Source organism: Homo sapiens, chromosome 19, assembly GCF_000001405.40.
Source record: "Homo sapiens chromosome 19, GRCh38.p14 Primary Assembly".
Lineage (NCBI taxonomy): Eukaryota > Metazoa > Chordata > Mammalia > Primates > Hominidae > Homo > Homo sapiens.
This window is the reverse complement of record NC_000019.10, coordinates 14,970,819-14,989,221: the sequence shown is the minus strand read 5'-3', so window position 1 is coordinate 14,989,221 and position 18,403 is coordinate 14,970,819. Positions and strand designations below refer to the sequence as shown.

At 47.0% G+C, this 18,403-nt stretch overlaps 1 protein-coding gene across 10 annotated transcripts in view; it reads left to right on the top strand.

Moving 5' to 3' along the window:
* SLC1A6 (solute carrier family 1 member 6) overlaps positions 1-18,403 on the top strand; it is a 60,611-nt gene that overhangs the window by 21,422 nt on the left and 20,786 nt on the right. For 3 of the 10 annotated variants that reach the window (NM_005071.3, NM_001384671.1, NM_001384670.1), the window contains exons 1-3: positions 9,358-9,913; positions 16,305-16,516; positions 17,348-17,485. In NM_005071.3, coding sequence (NP_005062.1) covers positions 16,312-16,516; positions 17,348-17,485 — 343 coding nt within the window. In that variant the 5' untranslated portion in view covers positions 9,358-9,913; positions 16,305-16,311. Of the gene's footprint in view, positions 1-9,357; positions 11,103-11,444; positions 12,462-16,304; positions 16,517-17,347; positions 17,486-18,403 lie in introns of those variants that run through there. The other 7 variants (NM_001384669.1, NM_001272088.2, XM_047439233.1 and 4 more) reach the window with 6 other exon arrangements.

The window sequence follows — 18,403 nt, the reverse complement described above, 5'->3', positions numbered from 1 at the left end:
TATTGAATACTCTTAAAGTCTAGGCTTTTAGTGTAGCCATCACCCAAATAATGTGTATTGTACCTAACAGGTAGTGTCTCATCCCTCAGCCCCCGACCCTCCCACCTTTTGGAGTTGCCGGTGTCTGTAAAACCATGGGTACCCATCGTTTAGCTCCCATTTGTGAGAACATTTGGTATTTGACTTTCTTCCTTCTTTTTTTAAAGACAGGATCTTGCTCTGTTGCTCAGGCTGGAGTGCAGTGGCACGATCATGGCTCACTGCAGCCTTGAGCTCCTCAGTTCAAGTGATCCTCCCACCTCTGCCTCCTGAGTAGCTAGGACTACAGGTGTGCACCACCACACCCAGGTAATTATTATTATTTTTTGTAGAGATGGGATCTTGCTATGCTGCCCAGGCTGGTCGTCTCCTACTCCTGAGCTCAAGGGATCCTCCCTCCTCAGCCTCCCACAGTGTTGGGATTACAGGCGTGAGCCACCACACCAGCTAGTATTTGACTTTCTGTTTCTGAGTTATTTCGCTTAAGATAATGGCCTCCAGCTCCATCCAAGTTGTTGCAACAGACATGATTTCATTCTTTTTTAATGGCTGAGTAGTATTCTATGGTGTATATTCTGACAGGTATTAGGTGATATCTCATTGTGGTTTTAATTTGCATTTCCCTGATGATTAATTATATTCAGCATTTTTTCTTTCATGAACCTGTTGGCCATTTTGTATGTCTTCTTTTAAGAAATGTCTGTTCAAGTCCTTTGCCCATTTTCTAATTGGGTTATTTGTTTTCTGAACATAAGGTTTCACAGAGCAGAAGCACCATCATCTTGGACAAACACAGCTACTTTAAGTTCCAGCTCCTTTTCTAGCCTCATGCATTTTAGGGAGATCACTTCTCTTCTAACTACAAGAAGACAGAAAGAGCAGACCATAAAACACAAATAAGACAGCTGGGGCACAGAGGGAGGTGGGGAGAAAGTCTCTTGGTTAACTGCCAAACTTCACCCTCATACAACGGGCCCCAGTAAAACAGTGGGCCTTAATAAACACATTCCTTTCCCTTCAGGTGCACTAAGATAGGGAAGCTAACAGCAGACTTGGGGAATATGCCAGAAGGCTCTCCACCTCCTGGGTTCAAGAAATTCTCCTGCCTCAGCCTCCTGAGTAGTTGGGATTACAGGTGTGCACCACCACGCCCGGCTGATTTTTGTATTGTTAGTATACATCTGTGGTCTCAGCTACTTGGGAGGCTGAGGCAGTAGGATTGCTTGAGCCCAGGAATTCAAAGCTGCAGTAAACTATGATTGCCCTACTGCACTTCAGCCTGGGCAACAGAGTCAGATCCTGTCTCAAAAAACCAAACCAAAACAAATAAAAAAGCCAAAACCGAAAAGGCAGGCTCTGCTGGACTAGGCTCCCTGAGTTGCTTTGCAAATGCTTTCTAGCTGGGCATGGTTTGAGTCTGAGCTGCTGTGGAACATACTGGGGGAGACTCATGATGTACTTGCTGGGCTTCAAACAGCACAGGCATATTCTGCTCAGAGTCTCTGCATTTGCTGTTCCCGCTACCTGGATTGCTCTTCCTGTAGTCATCCTCCCTGCTCACTTCCTTATCTGCTTTGCGTCTTTGCTCAAATATCACCTGCGCACTCGGACATTCACTAACTGCTTAATGAAGACTGTGACTCTCTCCTCACCCTCCATATATTCTTTTCCTGATTATAATTATTATTTTTAATTAAAAAAAATTTTTTTTTTCCGAGACAGAGTCTTGCTCTGTCGCTCAGGCTGGAGTGCAGTGGTGCGATCTCAGCTCACTGCAACCTCTGCCTCCTGGGGTTCAAGCAATTCTTCTGCCTCAGCCTCCCGAGTAGCTGGGATTACAGGTGTGCACCACCATGCCTGGCTAATTTTTGTATTTTCAGTAGAGACGGTATTTCGCCATGTTGGTCAGGCTGGTCTCGATCTCCTGACCTCATGATCCGCTCACCTCGGCTTCCCAAAGTGCTGGGATTACAGGTGTGAGCCACCGCATCCAGCCCTCATTATTGTTTTTTCCCCATAGGACTTATCACCATCTGACAATGGTTTGCAAAGTGTAGCCTGCAAATCCCCAGGTGTGGCAGCCTTGAGACCATTCAGGGGGTCTGCAAGGTCAAAATGATTTTAATAATCATTCTAAGATATTATTTGCCTTTTTTCACTGTGTTAGTCTATGCACTCATGGAGCAAAAGTAAGGGCGAGTAACAGTGTCTATCATGTAAGCGTGAATCAACGCAGCAGCACCAAACTGTACTAGGGGTCATTATATTCTTCATTGCCACACACTCATGGTTTTAACAAAAGCCAGTTTCAGGCCAGGTACAGTGACTCATGCCTGTAATTCCAGCACCTTGGGAGGCCGAGGCAGGAGGATCACTTGAGTCCAGGAGTTTGAGACCCAGTCTCTACAAAAAAGTAGAGGAAAAATTAGCCAGACCTGGTGGCGCACACCTGTATTCCCAGCTACTCAAGAGGCTGAGGTGGAAGCATCACTTGAGCCCAGGATGTCAAGGCTACAGTGAGCTATGATTGCACCACTGCACTCCAGCCTGGGTGACAGAGGGAGACCCTGTCTTAAAAAAAAAAAAAGCCAGTTTCATTTAGGCTTGTACTTGATAAAGCAATACAATTATTCATTTTATTAAATCCTTTTTTTTTTTTTGAGACGGAGTTCACTCTTGCCGCCCAGGCTGGAGTGCAATGGTGCAATCTCGGCTCACTGCAAACCTCTACCTCCCAGGTTCAAGCAATTCTCCTCCCTCAGCCTCCATAGTAGCTGAGATTACAGGCACCCCCCACCATGCTGGGCTAATTTTTTTTTGTATTTTTAGTAGAGACGGGGTTTCACCATGTTGGCCAGGCTGGTCTTGAACTTCTGACCTTAGGTGATCCACTCACTTTGGCCTCCCAAAGTGCTGGGATTACAGGCATGAGCCACTGTGTCTGGCCCATTTTATTAAATCTTGACTCTTGAGTATATGTCTTTTTAATATTCTGTGTGATGCAACGGGAAGTATGGATAAAAAATTTTTCTACACACAGAAGTATCATGGTAGCTGTCTCCAAGACAAAAAAAAAAAAAATTACTGCTTGTGTGAGTGTTTGAATTGCAAGCTGAACCAGCTACTTTTTTTCATGGAATTCCATTTTTAGACAGACAAACCTCAGCTATTCTGACATGGTGTATTAGTCTGTGTGTGTGTCTGTTGTTGTTTTTTTTCTTTTTTGAGACAGAGTCTCGCTCTGCTGCCCAGGCTGGAGTGCAGTGGTGTGATCTCGGCTCACTGCAACCTCCACCTCCTGGGTTCAAACAATTCTTCTGCCTCAGCCTCCTGAGTAGCTGAGTGGTATGCACCACCATGCCCAGCTAATTTTTGTATTGTAAGTAGAGATGGATTTTTGCCATATTGGACAGGCTGGCCTCAAACTCCTGGCCTCAAACGATCCTCCCTCCTTGGCCTCCCAAAGGCTGGGATTATAGGCGTGAGCCAAGTGCCCGGCCAGACTGTTTGCATTGCTATAAAGGAATATCTGAGACTGGGTAATTTATAAAGAAAAGTGCTTTATTTTGGCTCACAGTTCTGCAGGCTGTACAGGAAGCATGGCACTGGCATCTGTTTCTGGTGAGGGCCTCAGGCAGCTTCCAGTCATGGTGGAAGGTGAAGGGGAGCAGAAATGTCAAATGGTGAGAGACAGCAAGAAAGAGAGAGGGAGGAGGTGTCAGGCTCTTTTAAACAGCGAGCTTTCCCATGAACTCATAGAGTGAGAACTCACTCATTACCAGGAGAATGGCAGCAAGCCATTCACAAAAAATCCACCCCCGTGACCAAAACACCTCCTACTAGGCCTGCCTCCAACACTGGAGGTCACATTTCAACATGAGATTTGGAGGGGACAGAACATCCAAACCACATCAAAGGAGGTTTGACAGACATTTTTGCAAAAATGAAAGAAATATATCTGTCACTTCAAGGAAAATGATTCACAGTCATTATTGTCAATGATAAAATTTGCACTTTTTACGCCTGTAATCCCAGCACTTCGGGAGGCCGATGCGGGCGGATCACCTAAGGTCAGGAGTTCAAGACCAGCCTGGCCAACACGGTGAAACCCCGTCTCTACTAAAAATACAAAAATTAGCCAGGCATGGTGGCACGCACCTGTAATCCCAGCTACTCAGGAGGCTGAGGCAGGAGAATTGTTTGAACCCAGGAGGTGGAGGTTGCAGTGAGCCGAGATCACACCACTGCACTCCAGCCTGGGCAGCAGAGCGAGACTCTATCTAAACAAACAAACAAAAAAATTGCACTTTTGAGTGAAAATTATAATTTTTAAAAATTTGTATTCACGACTCTGAGAACTTCCCAACACTTTAAAACTTTCCATGAGATCAGTGATGATATTAACAAACATGACTTTTTGCTATTGCATAATGAAATGTGTTAATATGTAGCAGATCTGTAACTAGTGAGCTAACATTTTTCAAATGACGAATGCATGAGGTTTCAAAATCATGCATGGTTAAAAGACGAGCTTAATGGATTTTAATATTAACAGAATGCAAGAATTCACGGACAGGGTTTCCAATTCTGCATTGCAACTGTTCTTGAAGAAACTAAAATATGTAGCATTTTGGTGTCGTCTCAAAGAATAGACACAGTTACCTGAAAAGCTGATTAAAATAATCTTCCCTTTTCAACTGCCTGTCTGTGTAAGACTGAATTTTTTTCATGTATTTCAACCAAAACAATATACCATTACAGATTCAATGCAGAAGCAGATACAGTTGATTTTCATGATTCATGGTAGTTATATTCTATGAAGTTGCTTTTTTTTTTGTTTTTTATTTTAGAGATGGAGCTTTGCTCTTGTTGCCCAGGCTGGAGGGCAATGGCACGATCTCGGCTCACCACAATGGTGCGATGTCAGCTCACTGCAACTTCCGCCTCCTGGGTTCAAGTGATTCTCCTGCCTCAGCCTCCCAAGTAGCTGTGACTACAGGCAAGCGCCACCATACCTGGCTAATTTTGTATTTTTAGTAGAGACGGGGTTTCTCCATATTTGTCAGGCTGGTCTCAAACTCCTGACCTCAGATGATCCGCCCGCCTCAGCCTCCCAAACTGCTGAGATTACAGGCATGAGCCACCGCACCCAGCCCTATAAAGTTGCTTTGAACACTGAAGTAGCAAATACTAAATCACTGCTTCCAGGGGGAAGTACAAGATTTAGTTTCTGTAAGCACCTGGTCACAACATTTTTGTCAACTGATATATACTTTGTTTTATTTGTGTTTTTGTTTAAAGACTCCATATTTAATATATGTTGCTGATTCATTAACATTGAGCTCATGGCCAACAGTACTAGAAGTTATGTCTGAGCATAGCTTACCTAACATACATATTGTCTCTGTAAGGCACGTCACAGCCTTACAGCCTTACAGCCTTTTTTTTTTTTTTTTTTTTTTTGGTGTTGTTGTTCTTGTTGTTGTTGTTTTTTAGAGCTAAAATCTTGCTCTGTCGCCCAGGCAGGAGTGCAGTGGTACGATCATAGGTCACTGCAGCATCAACCTTCCAGGCTCAAGCGATCCTCCCGCCTCAGCCTCCTGAGTAGCTGGGACCACAGGCACGCCCCCCATACCTGGCTCATTTTAAAATTTTTTGTGGAGATGGGGGAGTCTCAATATGTTGCTCAGGCTGGTCTCAAACTCCTGGGCTCAAGTAATCCTCCTGTCTTGGCTTCCCAAAGCGCGGCTGGGATTGCAAGTGTGAGCCACCACACCCAGCTACCCCACAACCTTCTAGAGCTTAGAAACACACTGAGCACTTCAGCTTAGAAACGCTAGACAGCACTTCAGCAAAGTGCTCAGGACCATTTTAAACAGCGAAATCAACAAAAAACATGAAAGTTAGAAAAGTATGGCACTAAACAGGCCACAAATAGGATGCTTGTTCACTGTATGAGCTGAAACAAGATAACAGAGCATGGTTCTTTTGCACCTCAGCTACAAATGTTCACGCCGTGCAGCTCAAAATGTTAATCTCTCTGCAAATGACCCAGAAAAATGTCAGAATCTCCGCAAGTATTAATTTTGGGGTCACAAATACATGTTAGTGAGTGAGTGACTTTGCAAATACAGAATCCGTGAATAATGAAAATCAACTGTATAAAAATTCCGTTTCCTTTTGATGAAGGTAGCCATTAAAGCAATTTGAAAAAGTGTAAAACAATGTCACTCTTCTTTTTTTGTTCTTGTTTTGGAAAATACAGTTATTTTTCGTAAAAATATGCTATTTTATGTTAACATGTAGTAGGTTTATTTTTGTTATGTTAAAATGAATAAATGTTGAAACACTTTTTCAGTTTTAATTTCTGATACTGTAAAGATCAATAGCTATAACCTATATAAAGAAAAGCTCTTTGGGATCTCCCAGGATCTTTTTAAATTAAGACACAGTTTCTGAGAACAGTTTTAGATTTACATAAAAAATGAAAAGATAGTACAGACAGCTCCCATATGCTCCCTTGACTTAGTTTCACTTGTTATTAATATATTTCATTAGTATGGCACATTTGTATAATTACCATATTGTAATATTGATATATTATTATATTGATACATTATTAACAAAATGTTATTGTTACAGATAACTTTTTTTGAAACAGAGTCTTACCCTGTTGCCCAGGCTGGAGTGCAGTGGCACGACCTTGGCTCACTGCAAACTCTGCCTCCGGGGTTCAAGTAATTCTCTTGCCTCAGCCTCCCGAGTAGCTGGGATTACAGGCACCCGCCACCATGCCTGGCTAATTTTATATTTTTAGTAGATACGGGGTTTCACCAGGTTGGCCAGGCTGGTCTCGAACTCCTGACCTCTAGTGATTTGCCCACCTCGGCCTTCCAAAGGGCTGGGATTACAGGTGTGTGCCACCATGCCCGGCCAATATGGATACATTATTATTAGCGAAAGCCCATACTCTATTCAGATTTCCTAATTTTTTCCTTATATCCTTTTTCTTTTCTAGGATCTCACATTACGTTTTGTTGTCATATCTTCTTAGACTCCTCTCGGCTGTGACAGTTTCTCAGACATTCCTTGTTTTCTCATTTTTAAATTTTATTTTTTTTTTTAGAGACAGGGTCTCGCTCTGTTGCCCAGGCTGGAGTGCTGTGGCACAATCATAGTTCACTGCAAACTCAACCTCTTGGACTCAAGCGGTCCCAGATTCAACCTCTTGGACTCAAGCGGTCCTCCTGCATCAGCCTCCTGAGTATCTGGGACTACAGGCACCTGCCACCAAACCCTGCTCCACATGTTCCTTAATTTTTAATGACTGTTTTGAAGAGGACTGCGCAGGTAGATTATCGGATGCCTCTCTATTGAAATTAGTCTGATGTTTTTCTCATGCTTAGGCTTGAGTTATGGTTTCTTTGGGATCCTCCCTGATTGTTACGGGTGTAAAGGGCTTGCAAGGCCAATTGCCAGGGAACAACTGCTATTTTATTTACTTATTATTTTGCGTGACAGACCGAGGGCTCTGTTGTCTTCGCTGCTGAGTCTCCAGCCTCTAGCACATCCAAGTGCACAGTAAGTATTTGTGGAGTGAATGACCGTAAGAGGCAGGAGTTCAGGGGCAGCTCTAGGTTCAAGAAGGATGCAGAATCGTCTAAGCACAGTGAGTGACTGAAGCAGCGGAGTGAGAAGGCTGCAGAGAGGGGTTGCCAATGTGGTCCAGGGGAATCTGACATCTAGGACAGAGATTCAGCCTTAGCCATACATTGGGGAGCATTCAAATATACTGATGCCTGGGTCCCACTTCCAGGTATGCTGATGTGCTTGGTATAGGGTGTGGCTTGGGCATCAGATATCTTTTCTTTTCTTTCCTTTTTTTTTTTTTAGACAAGGTCTTGCTCTGTTGTCCAGGCTGAAGTGCAGTGGCACAATCATAGCTCACTGTAACCTCAAATTCCTAAGCTCAAGTGACCCTCCTGCCTCAGCCTCCTGAGTAACTGGGACTACAGGTGTGTGCCCAGCTAATTTTTTGATTTTTTTTTTTTAAATAGAGACAGAGTCTTGCTATGTTGCCCAGGCTGATCTTGAACTCCTGGGCTCAAGTGATCCTCTCTCCTTGGCGTCCCAATGTGCTGGGATTACATGCATGGGCCACTATGTCAGGCTGGCTTCAGAATTTTTAAAACCTCTCCAGGTAGTTTTAAAATACAGCTAAGTTTGAGAATCACCTATCTAGGAGTTGTTGCAAAGAAGCAGAGCCAGGGCGATGCATGCAAAGAATTAGAATTGGGGCATCTGTTTCCTGGCTGTGTGACCTTGGACAAGTTATTGAACCTTTCTGAGCACCTGTCCCCGCCCTGAAAATAGAGGAAGTGATATATACTTTATAGGAGTGTGTAGATTAAATATAAGTATTAATAAAAGAGCCTGCCTAGTTCAGGAGGTCGCCATCAACACTTCATCAACAACAACAACAATAATAAAAAACATTGAACGTGCACTGACTTTTTTTTTTTTTTTTTGACGGAGTCTCGCTCTGTCACCCAGGCTGGAGAGCAGTGGTGCGATCTCGGCTCACTGCAACCTCCGCCTCCTGTGTTCAAGTGATCCTCCCGCCTCGGCCTCCCAAAGTGCTGGGATTACAGGCGTGAGCCACCGTGCCCAGCCTGCACTGAGTTTTTATTCATACGACAGACCTGATGCTCAGATCTTTAAATGGCATTAGCTCTCAGGAGAGGCAGAAGATGTGGGAAGCAACCAAGTCATTGCCTTTCGAGAAGAAAAGTCGAGTGCACCTTGCCTGGTGTGCTCTAAAGACAGCAAAGAATAATATTAATTACAATAGGAACGACATTATCCATCTCCCATTTGCCCAGTGCTTCGCGCTGGCACGGAGCATTTCCAGCCTCACGCGCTTTAATTTTCTCAGCTTTAATTTTCTGTGGGGTCGGCCAAGCCATCTTCCTTGTTTAGCGGAGGAAGCCAGGCTCAGAGAGGGAGAGGAGTTGGCCCAAGGGCACACAGCAGCCAAGTGGCCAAGGCCGGAAGGTGCACCCGCAAGGAGAAGGGGGCAGCGGAGCCCTCTCCCTGGCTGTTGTTACTGGGACACTAGAGCCGCGCCTTCCCCAGGCCTCCGCCGAGGCTGCTGGAGCGGGTCCCGCGGTGCCAGGGCCTGTTCCCCGCGCTCCGCCAGGGATGCTGGGGCCTCCGAGGGCTCCGGAGGCGGTTTAGGGGGCGGGGGCGCGGAGGCGCGGCTCCGAGCAGGGGGCGGGGGCTGGATGCCGGAGAGGCCACTCACCCCCGCCCACCCCCAGTCCCCCTCCCTTCGCAAGCACGCTGTCCCCCTTCTCCCACACGGCTGCGGAGCCTGGGCTGGGCGCGGGGGAGGCGGAGGGCATCGCGGAGGGGATCCCGCCCCCTCCCCCGGCCGCTCGGTGCCCCCACACCCACGTGAGCGCAGGGCCGGCCCGGATCCCTCCCGCAGCATAGCGCGTCCCGGCTCCGCGCCGGTGCCTCCACGGTCCGGTCCCCGCGCCGGTGCTGCACAGTCCCTGGCGGGTCCCCGCGGCCCCGGCCGGGCGCTTCGCCGGGCTCCGGCTCCTGCATCCGGGCGCAGCGCGCAGGCCGAGGCGCGGGCAGGCCGCCCCCGCCGCTCCGGACGCCGGTGAGTGGGGACTCCGCGGCTCGGCGCGGGGACTCGGTGTGGCTGCGGCGCGGAGGTTGCGGGCAGGTGGGGGATCCGAGGCGCTGGGGTCAGGCGTGTGGGGCGCTCCCTGCGCCCACGTCCCCACTTCTCCGCCGCCCTTTGTCTCTGAGCTCCTGCTTGCCCCTTAGAGCCGTTGCCACCGCTTTTCTCCTGGTCGTTCTGGTGAGTTTCCTATCCCCTTAGTTATCCCCGGGTCTCCCTGCCCGTCTCCCCACCTCCCCAACCCGTGGCCTCCGCACACAGGCACGTTTCCAGCACCGAGCCCGATGCCTTGTGCATTTATAGGGCTCGGTTGCCTTCTCTGTCAGAGGGCTTATTTCACCAATTTCAGATGTATCTGATGTGGCTGAGGCTGCAGAGGGTCTGGGCATTAGTGTGTGTGTGTGTGTGTGTGTGTGTGTGTGTGTGTGTGTGTGTGTGACAGAGAGAGAGAGAGACTGAATTTGTGAGTGGGATCGCCGTCCTGAACAGGTGTGTGGAGCTGAATGTTTAAATGTGAGGATGATTTTGAAAGTCTGAAGTTTGTGTTTTGTGCCCTAAAGAGTGTGTGTGTGTGTGTTTCTGTGTGTAGGTAGGAATTGTATGGCTGTCACTGCCTCTGTAAGATTTAATTCATGAAGGGTAGTTGTGCAGAGCCACGAAGGTGTGTGTGGTTGTGTGCCTGAGGGTGTACATGAATGTGTATGTGTGTGTGCAGAATTGTATGACTGCATGCCTGGAATTGCATTTCTGAAGGTGTGGGTGGTTGCGTGCCTGAGGGTGTACATGAATGTGGCAAGTGTATGTGTGAGTGTGTCTGTGTGCAGAATTGTACAACTGTGTGCCTGGAATTGCATTTCTGAAGGTGTGTGGTTGTGTGCCTGAGGGTGTACATGAATGTGGGAAGTGTGTGTGTGTAGGGATTGTATGACTGCATGCATGGAGCTGCATTTCTGAAGGTTTGTGTGGGTGTGTGTGTGGTTGCATGTCTGAAGAGTTTGCATGTGACTGTGTCTGTCTGGGGTTGTGGATATGTCAATTGCATACAAGAGGTTTTCGAGGTTATGTGTGCGTGTGTGTGTCTGAGTGTGTGTGATGTACTTGGTTTCCATGCCGTCTCTCTCTTCCCTCACTCACTCCTCTGGCTAGCATAGCATTGACATAAAATGTACAGAAAGCATTTTCAGTTTGCTCACTGTAGCTTGCTTTAGTTTTAGGGATGTAAGAGGCTCCGAGAAGCAGCCCACACATCTCATCAGATCTAAGTGTCTAGAGGTCGGGAGAACCAAGTGGGAAAGACCCACCCTCACCCCTCACCCTGTAGAAACTGGGAACACTAGAAGGGACATTTTCTGAGCAGGAAACCCAAGAGGTAGGTCCAAAAGAAAGCCTAGACCCAGGAAAGCCTAGAAAAGAGAGAGCCCAGGGTGGGGGAGAAGAGAGAGACCCAGAGAGGCCCAAGTGGAGTCTAAGATCACATTTCAAGTCAAACATTTTTTAAAACTAGTATTATTATTAATTGACAATCATGATGGTATATACTTATAAGTGATGCAGACAGGACTGAGAAAAATTGATAGTAAGACATTCTCACACTGTAGCATTTTACTCTATTCTTAATTTTGTGTGAGTTAGGTTTCTGCTTTTTATCAACCACAGTTGGCAACTATTTTATGGTCATCAGGTGCTAAGATGCTGTTTTCTTTTCTTTTAGACAGGGTTTTACGCTGTCACCCAAGTTGGAGTGCAGTGGTACGATCATAGCTCATTGCAGCCTCAAACTCCTGGGTTCAAGCGATCCTCCTGCTTTAGCCTCTTGAGTGGCTAGGACTACAGGCACAGGCCACCGTGCCTGGCTAATTTTTAATTTTTAAAAAAGAGACAGGGTCTGGCTATGTTGCCCAGGCTGGCCATGAACTCCTGGGCTCAAGCGGTTCTCCAGCCTTCACCTCCCAAAGTGTTGGGATTGCAGGCATGAGCCACTGCGTCTGGCCCACAGATGCTAAGTGCTGTCTGCTCTTCTCCAGGGGTCAGCAAATTTTTTCAGCAAATGGCCCAAGAGTAAACATTTTGAGCTTTGTGGCCCGTACAATCTCTGTCCCAACAACTCAACTCAGGCATTGTAGCTTGAAAGCAGCTGTAGACAATAGGTAATGCATGAGTGTGGCTGTGTGCCAATAAAACTTTATTTACAAAAACAAGCAGTAGGCTGAATTTGACTAGCAGACCATAGTTTGTCAATACCGTATTATGTCTTGTAAGGAAGAGAAAGGAACCGGACAAAACTCTAGCCTCGGGAGTTTTCCTGACTGTTCAGATCTTAGCTGAATGATCTCCCTTGGTATCTACAGGCAACTTCCTGCTGTGGCTTAGGGACTGGAAACATAATATCCCAGAGGGATTCCCTGTGTAGTCTGTGGTTCACTCTTTGGGATTTTTTTTTTTTTTTTTTTTCACAGCAAGGAGAAGCAGCATTGTGGTTTCAGGAGATGGGTCCATTTGGAGCAGGATCCTAAGTGGGGCTTGGCATTGGGAATTTGGATTAGCTCTAGAGGACGCAGGATCTGGAAAATCAGGGCAGATTTCCCATCCCTTGGATATGGTGGGGAGTTGAGGAGGGCAAGGAAGATCCCAGAAAAGCCAGTGGCAGCAAAACACAAAGGCCAGGGACCTACGTACTGGTAAAACTGAGACCTCCAAGAAACCTGCAGCTCGACCTGGTTGAATTCAGGTACTGGGGGTGTGGCTGGGGTGCGGGTGAGAAAAAATATCAGGGAGCCTTGATCCCTTAGGAAGTAGATGGGGGGCAGCCGGGCGCTGTGGCTCATACCTGTAATCCCAGCACTTTGGGAGGCCGAGGTGGGTGAATCACCTGAGGTCAGGAGTTCGAGACCAGCCTGGCCAACAGTGAAACCCCGTCTCTACTAAAAATACAAAAATACTAAAAATAAGTAAACATGTGGTATTACACTTTGCTTCTGAATTATTGCACTTAAGAGAATGGCCTCCAGTTGTATGTGTGTTGCTGTAAAAGACACTTTATTATGGCTGATTACTATTCCATGATATACATAATGAAACATAGATAAAATACTGTAATCAACAATGTAGCAAGAAAATGTGATATTGATATAAATGTGATACAGATCTATTTATCTATAATATGATAAACTTATCTATATCACATTTTCTTTAATCGTCCATTGGTGGACACTTAGGTTGATTCCATATCTAGGCGATTGCGAATATTGCTGTGATGAAACATGCCAGTGCAGATATCCTTTTGATACAATGATTTGTTTTCCTTGGGGTGGATATTCAGTAGGGAGGTTTCTGGATGGGATGGAGTTCTTTGAGAAATCTCCATACTGTTGTCCTTTCCACTGGGTAGATCGAAAGGGAGCCCATGGGAGAGGGAGCCTAAGAGTGGGTCTAGAAGGAAGAACAGAATTCTCAGTATGCCTGGAAGAAGGGCACCACCCTTTCTTGGTTATGAGAACAGTGTAGGTTAGGAGGTATAGTACCTATAGCACACAGTGCTTTTAGGGACCCACAGAAAAGTCCCCTTCCCTTTCCTTCCCTTCCCCCTTCCCTTTCCTTCCCTTCCCTTCCCTTCCCTTTCCTTCCCTTCCCTTCCCTTCCCTTTGTCCCCTTCCCTTCCCTTCCCTTTGTCCCCTTCCCTTCCCTTCCGTTCCCTTCCCTCCTTTCTTTCTTTTTTTTTTTTCCTTTTTTTTTTTTTTTGACAAAGTCTGGCTTTGTCACCCAGGCTGGAGTACAGTGGTGCAATCTTGGCTCACTGCAACCTCTGCCTCCTGGGTTCAAAGCGATTCTCCTGCCTCAGCCTCTGGAGTAGCTGGGATTACAGGCGTGTGACACATCCAGCTAATTTTTGTATTTTTCATAGAGATGGGGTTTCGCCATGTTGGCCAGGCTGGTCTCGAACTCCTGACCTCAAGTGATCTGCCCACCTCGGCCTTCCAAATTGCTGGGATTACAGATGTGAGCCACTGCGCCCTGGCCGTTTTCATTTTTTTTGCTTCCCTTTTATTTTGAGTTGATACAAAATACTTGTACATATTGATGGGATACAGTGACATTTCGATACATGCATACAATGCGTAAAGATCAAATCAGGGTAATTAGCACATCCATCATCTCAAACATTGATCATTTCTTAATGTGTGAATGCTCAGAACCTTCTCTACTGGCTTTTTGGAAAATATAGAATAAATGATCATTAACCATAGTCCCTCTACGGTGCTGCAGAACACCAGAACTCATTCTTTCTATCTAGCTGTAGTTTTGTATCTGTTAACCAACCTCTCCCCATCCTCTCCTCCCGCCTACCCTTCCCAGCCTCTAATACAATTCTACTATTTCCCTGATGTTTTCATCTCTTTCAAAATCAGAAGACAGAAACAAGCATTTAGGTGAAAGAATGTTATAATGTAGAATATTAACATATTCATTTTAATTTTTAATTTTTTTAGGGTGGGTGCGGTGTCTCATGCCTACAATCCCAGCACTTTTGGAGGCTGAGGTGGGAGGATCACTTGAGCCCAGGAGTTGGAGGCTGCAGTGAGCTGCACTCCTGCCTGGTTGACAGAGCGACATTCTGTCTCAGGTCTTGAACTCCTGGGCTCAGGTGATCCTCCCCACTCAGCCACCCAAGTAGCTGGGATTACAGGCATGAGCCACAGCAGCTGGCTCAATTTTTAAAATTGAGGGGAATTCACATAACACAAAAGCAACCATTTGAAAACATATAATTCAATAGCATCTAGTATTTTCATTATGTTGTGCAATAATTGTCACCTCTATCTCGTTCTGAAATAACATATTTTTCTTTATATGAATGCAGTTGTGAAATAGAATTTTAATGTAGGCTTTTTTTTAATGAAGGAAGGGGTGCACAAAGAGAAAAGTTCCTCAGGCCCATGAAAATCACAATTTCTGAGCCGCCCTGTACACGTGAGGTGTTTAGTTGGTAGACAGATGGGCAAGTTTTAATTTTTATATGCATTTTATTTAATGTTGATGAAAAATATAATTCACATTTCAAGTAGGGGTCTAAAGTTTCCATTTTAGATACATTTTTAATTTTAATTTTAAAAGTATTTATTTATTTTTATTTTGAGACAGAGTCTCACTCTGTCGTCCAGGCTGGAGTGCTGTGGTGCGATCTCGGTTCACTGCAACCTCCACCTCCTGGATTCAAGTGATTCTCTTGCCTCAGCCTCCCGAGTAGTTGGGACTACAGGCACCTGCCACCACGCCTGGGTAATTTTTGTATTTTTAGTAGAGGCGGTGTTTCACTGTGTTGGCCAGGCTGGTCTCGAACTCCTGAGCTCAAGTGATCTGCCCGCTTCGGCCTCCCAAAGTGCTGGGATTATAGGCGTGAGCCACCACGCCTGGTTCGGTACTGTTTTTTAGGTAAGTGAATAAGGACACATGGATATGGCCAAATATAAAGAGGAGACGCAAAAGCCTGCAGTTTGGGAAACATCAGTACAGTGCCTGCCACCCCAGAGGGGCTCATGAACATCACACTGTGGCCAAGAATCATTATCATTTCATTCCCAAGGGACTCCCCGCTCTCCTGACTCCCCGCTCTCCCTGTTGCTCACCTGGGCATTCAGGCAGAATAGCTGCATTTACTGGGCACCTGCTGTTTGCCAGGCACCTGCTGATTTTGTCCTTGTGAAAAGCCTCCAGGCTGGACACAAAACCGTCCTAATTTGGGGGACTAGCCTCCGGGTGCTTTGTCTAGGGCTCCGTATGCAGCTGGCACTTCACAAAGGCTTGTTAATTTCCCTTGAGCCACTGGGGCAGCCCCCAGAGGCTTGTGATGATCTCAGTGAAATAAGAGTGGGCTGGAGTCAGGGTGTGTCAAAAAGGTCCATTATTTTTGTGGTTTCCTCCTCTTCCCAGCCATTCTCAGGAATGATTCTGGAGACTTGACGTTTTCCTGCCAAGACCTGTCCTTAGAACCGGGCACATCGCAACAGACTTACCTTCCCCCTCCCCTGCCATTTTGTTTTTAGTTATATTTTTATTTACTTGTTGTTCTTAGAGACAGGGCTGTGCTCTGTCACTCAGGCTGGAGTGCAGTGGTGCAGTCACAGCTCACTGCAGCCTCAAACTTCTGGGCTCAAGCGATCCTCTTGCCTTGGCCTTAGAAAGTGTTGGGATTACAGGTGTGGGCCACTGCGCCTGGCCTTTGTGCTTTTTTGGAGGGGTGGAGGTCTCACTATCTTGCTCAGGCTGGGAAGATCATAGATCACTGTAACCTTGAACTCTTGGGCTCAAGTGATCCTCCTGCCTCAGCCTCCCAAATATTTAGGACTACCACCCCTAGCTGCCCAGGCCAGTCTTGAACTCCTGGGCGCAAGTGATTCTCCTGCCTCTGCCTCCCAAAGTGCTGGGATTACAGGCGTGAGCCAAAACACCCAGCCACCCCCGCCTTCTGAGAGTCCTCAGGAAGCGCTCATTACCCTTCGCAGCCTTCGCCATCTGCCCACGCCGGCCTTCTGTCCTGGCCCTCACCAGCCCCAGGCTTCTCTGTTTCCCGCAGATAGACCATGAGCAGCCATGGCAACAGCCTGTTCCTGCGGGAGAGCGGCCAGCGGCTGGGCCGGGTGGGCTGGCTGCAGCGGCTGCAGGAAAGCCTGCAGCAGAGAGCACTGCGCACGCGCCTGCGCCTGCAGACCATGACCCTCGAGCACGTGCTGCGCTTCCTGCGCCGAAACGCCTTCATTCTGCTGACGGTCAGCGCCGTGGTCATTGGTGAGCTCTGCCTCTTGGAGGGCGGGGACTTCAGGGAAAGGCGGGGACTTCAGGGAAATTCCTGGCCTCTACACATCTCTTTGCTGCACCCCTTCATTCTCACCTGCACACACGTCCCAGTCCCACCAGTCACCCTCAACCCCCCACATAAAGACACACCACACAGATGAATACACATGTGTGCAAACACAACTGTGTGTGCACACAATGTTACATGCATATCCATGTGTACACACACACTCACATATATACATATACAATGTACAAACACTTTACTATGCACACACACATATGCGTGCATTGAACTTATAGGTGCAAACACAAACATGCACACTTGTGCATGTATGTTGGAACTTATAAACACATTCACATCTCTACATGCATTCTCTTGAGTACACGTGCACACACTTATGAGCTTAAGAACACGTACACTCCCATGTTTGAAAATAGTAAGATACACACAAATCACACCTATAGATGTCCAGGAAAACACCTGTGCAGATTCATGTGTATATGCCCCTGTATACAGACACCTATACCTGTTCACAAGTGAATGTCTACCGTCACATATCCTGGATATATACACACACATTTACACATTTACATTTGCACAGACACGGACACACATTTACACAATATCAATATGGTAACCCATACATGCATACATTTCTACAATGTCTGCACACATCAGTGCACACACAAATACACACACTCATAGGATATTTCTCTCCCTCACTCCCACCCTTGCCCTACCCTTCTTGGGATGGATGGACCCTGCCTGGGGCTGAGCGACCCAGACTTCAGTCCATGGACCCCTTCTTTTGGCCCTAGGGGTCAGCCTGGCCTTTGCCCTGCGCCCATATCAGCTCACCTACCGCCAGATCAAGTACTTCTCTTTTCCTGGAGAGCTTCTGATGAGGATGCTGCAGATGCTGGTGTTACCTCTCATTGTCTCCAGCCTGGTCACAGGTGAGAGAGCCCAGGCCAGTGTTGGCCTCCAAGACCCGTCTAGAGCCTCAGCTTGAACCCAGAGCCAAGGCCATCCCAAGCATGGGACCACTTCCTTGACGCGGCACCTCAAACATGGAGCCTGTGTCTGGTCCAGCGTCCTTGGCCAAACAAAGCCCAGGTCCCAATCGGTCCCAGGTTCCAGACCCCATATGACCCCACACCACTCATCTCAGTAGGCTTCCTGTCCTTTTCCTTGGAGGTAAAATGCCAGCCTGCAAGGGGCTTAGTATCACAAAGAAGTGAGAGAAAGTCTTGGAAGGGCAACCAGGGAGGGTGGCTGGGCTATGGTATGGATGTGCAGGGAGTGGGGTGTCGATTAAGGTGTGGAAGGTGAGTGAGATGGAGGTGACAGCTTAGTGGGTAGAGGGTGGGATGGGAGTATGGTTGGCTTATGCAGGGGTCCACAAACTTTTGCTTTAGAGGGCTGGATAGTAAACATTTTCAGCTTCAAGGGCCATATGGTCTCTTTTGCAACTAGGGTTGACCCTTGAACAATTTGGGTGTTAGGGGCACCAACCCCCACACAGTAAAAAATCCACATATAACTGTTTTGTTTTCTTTTGTTTTTAACAAAATCTTGCTCTGTTACCAGGCTGGGGTGCAGTGGCACCATCTTGGCTCACTGCAATCTCCACCTCCCAGGTTCAAGCAATTCCTCCACTTCAGCCTCCCGAGTAGCTGGGACTACAGGCACGCACCAACACGCCCAGCTAATTTTTTGTATTTTAGTAGAGTTGGGGTTTCACCATATTGGTCAGGATGATATCGATTTCCTGACCTCATGATCTGCGCACCTCGGCCTCCCAAAGTGCTGGGATAGCAGGCATGAGCCACCACGCCCGGCTCACATGTAACTTTTGACTCCCGAAAAGCTTA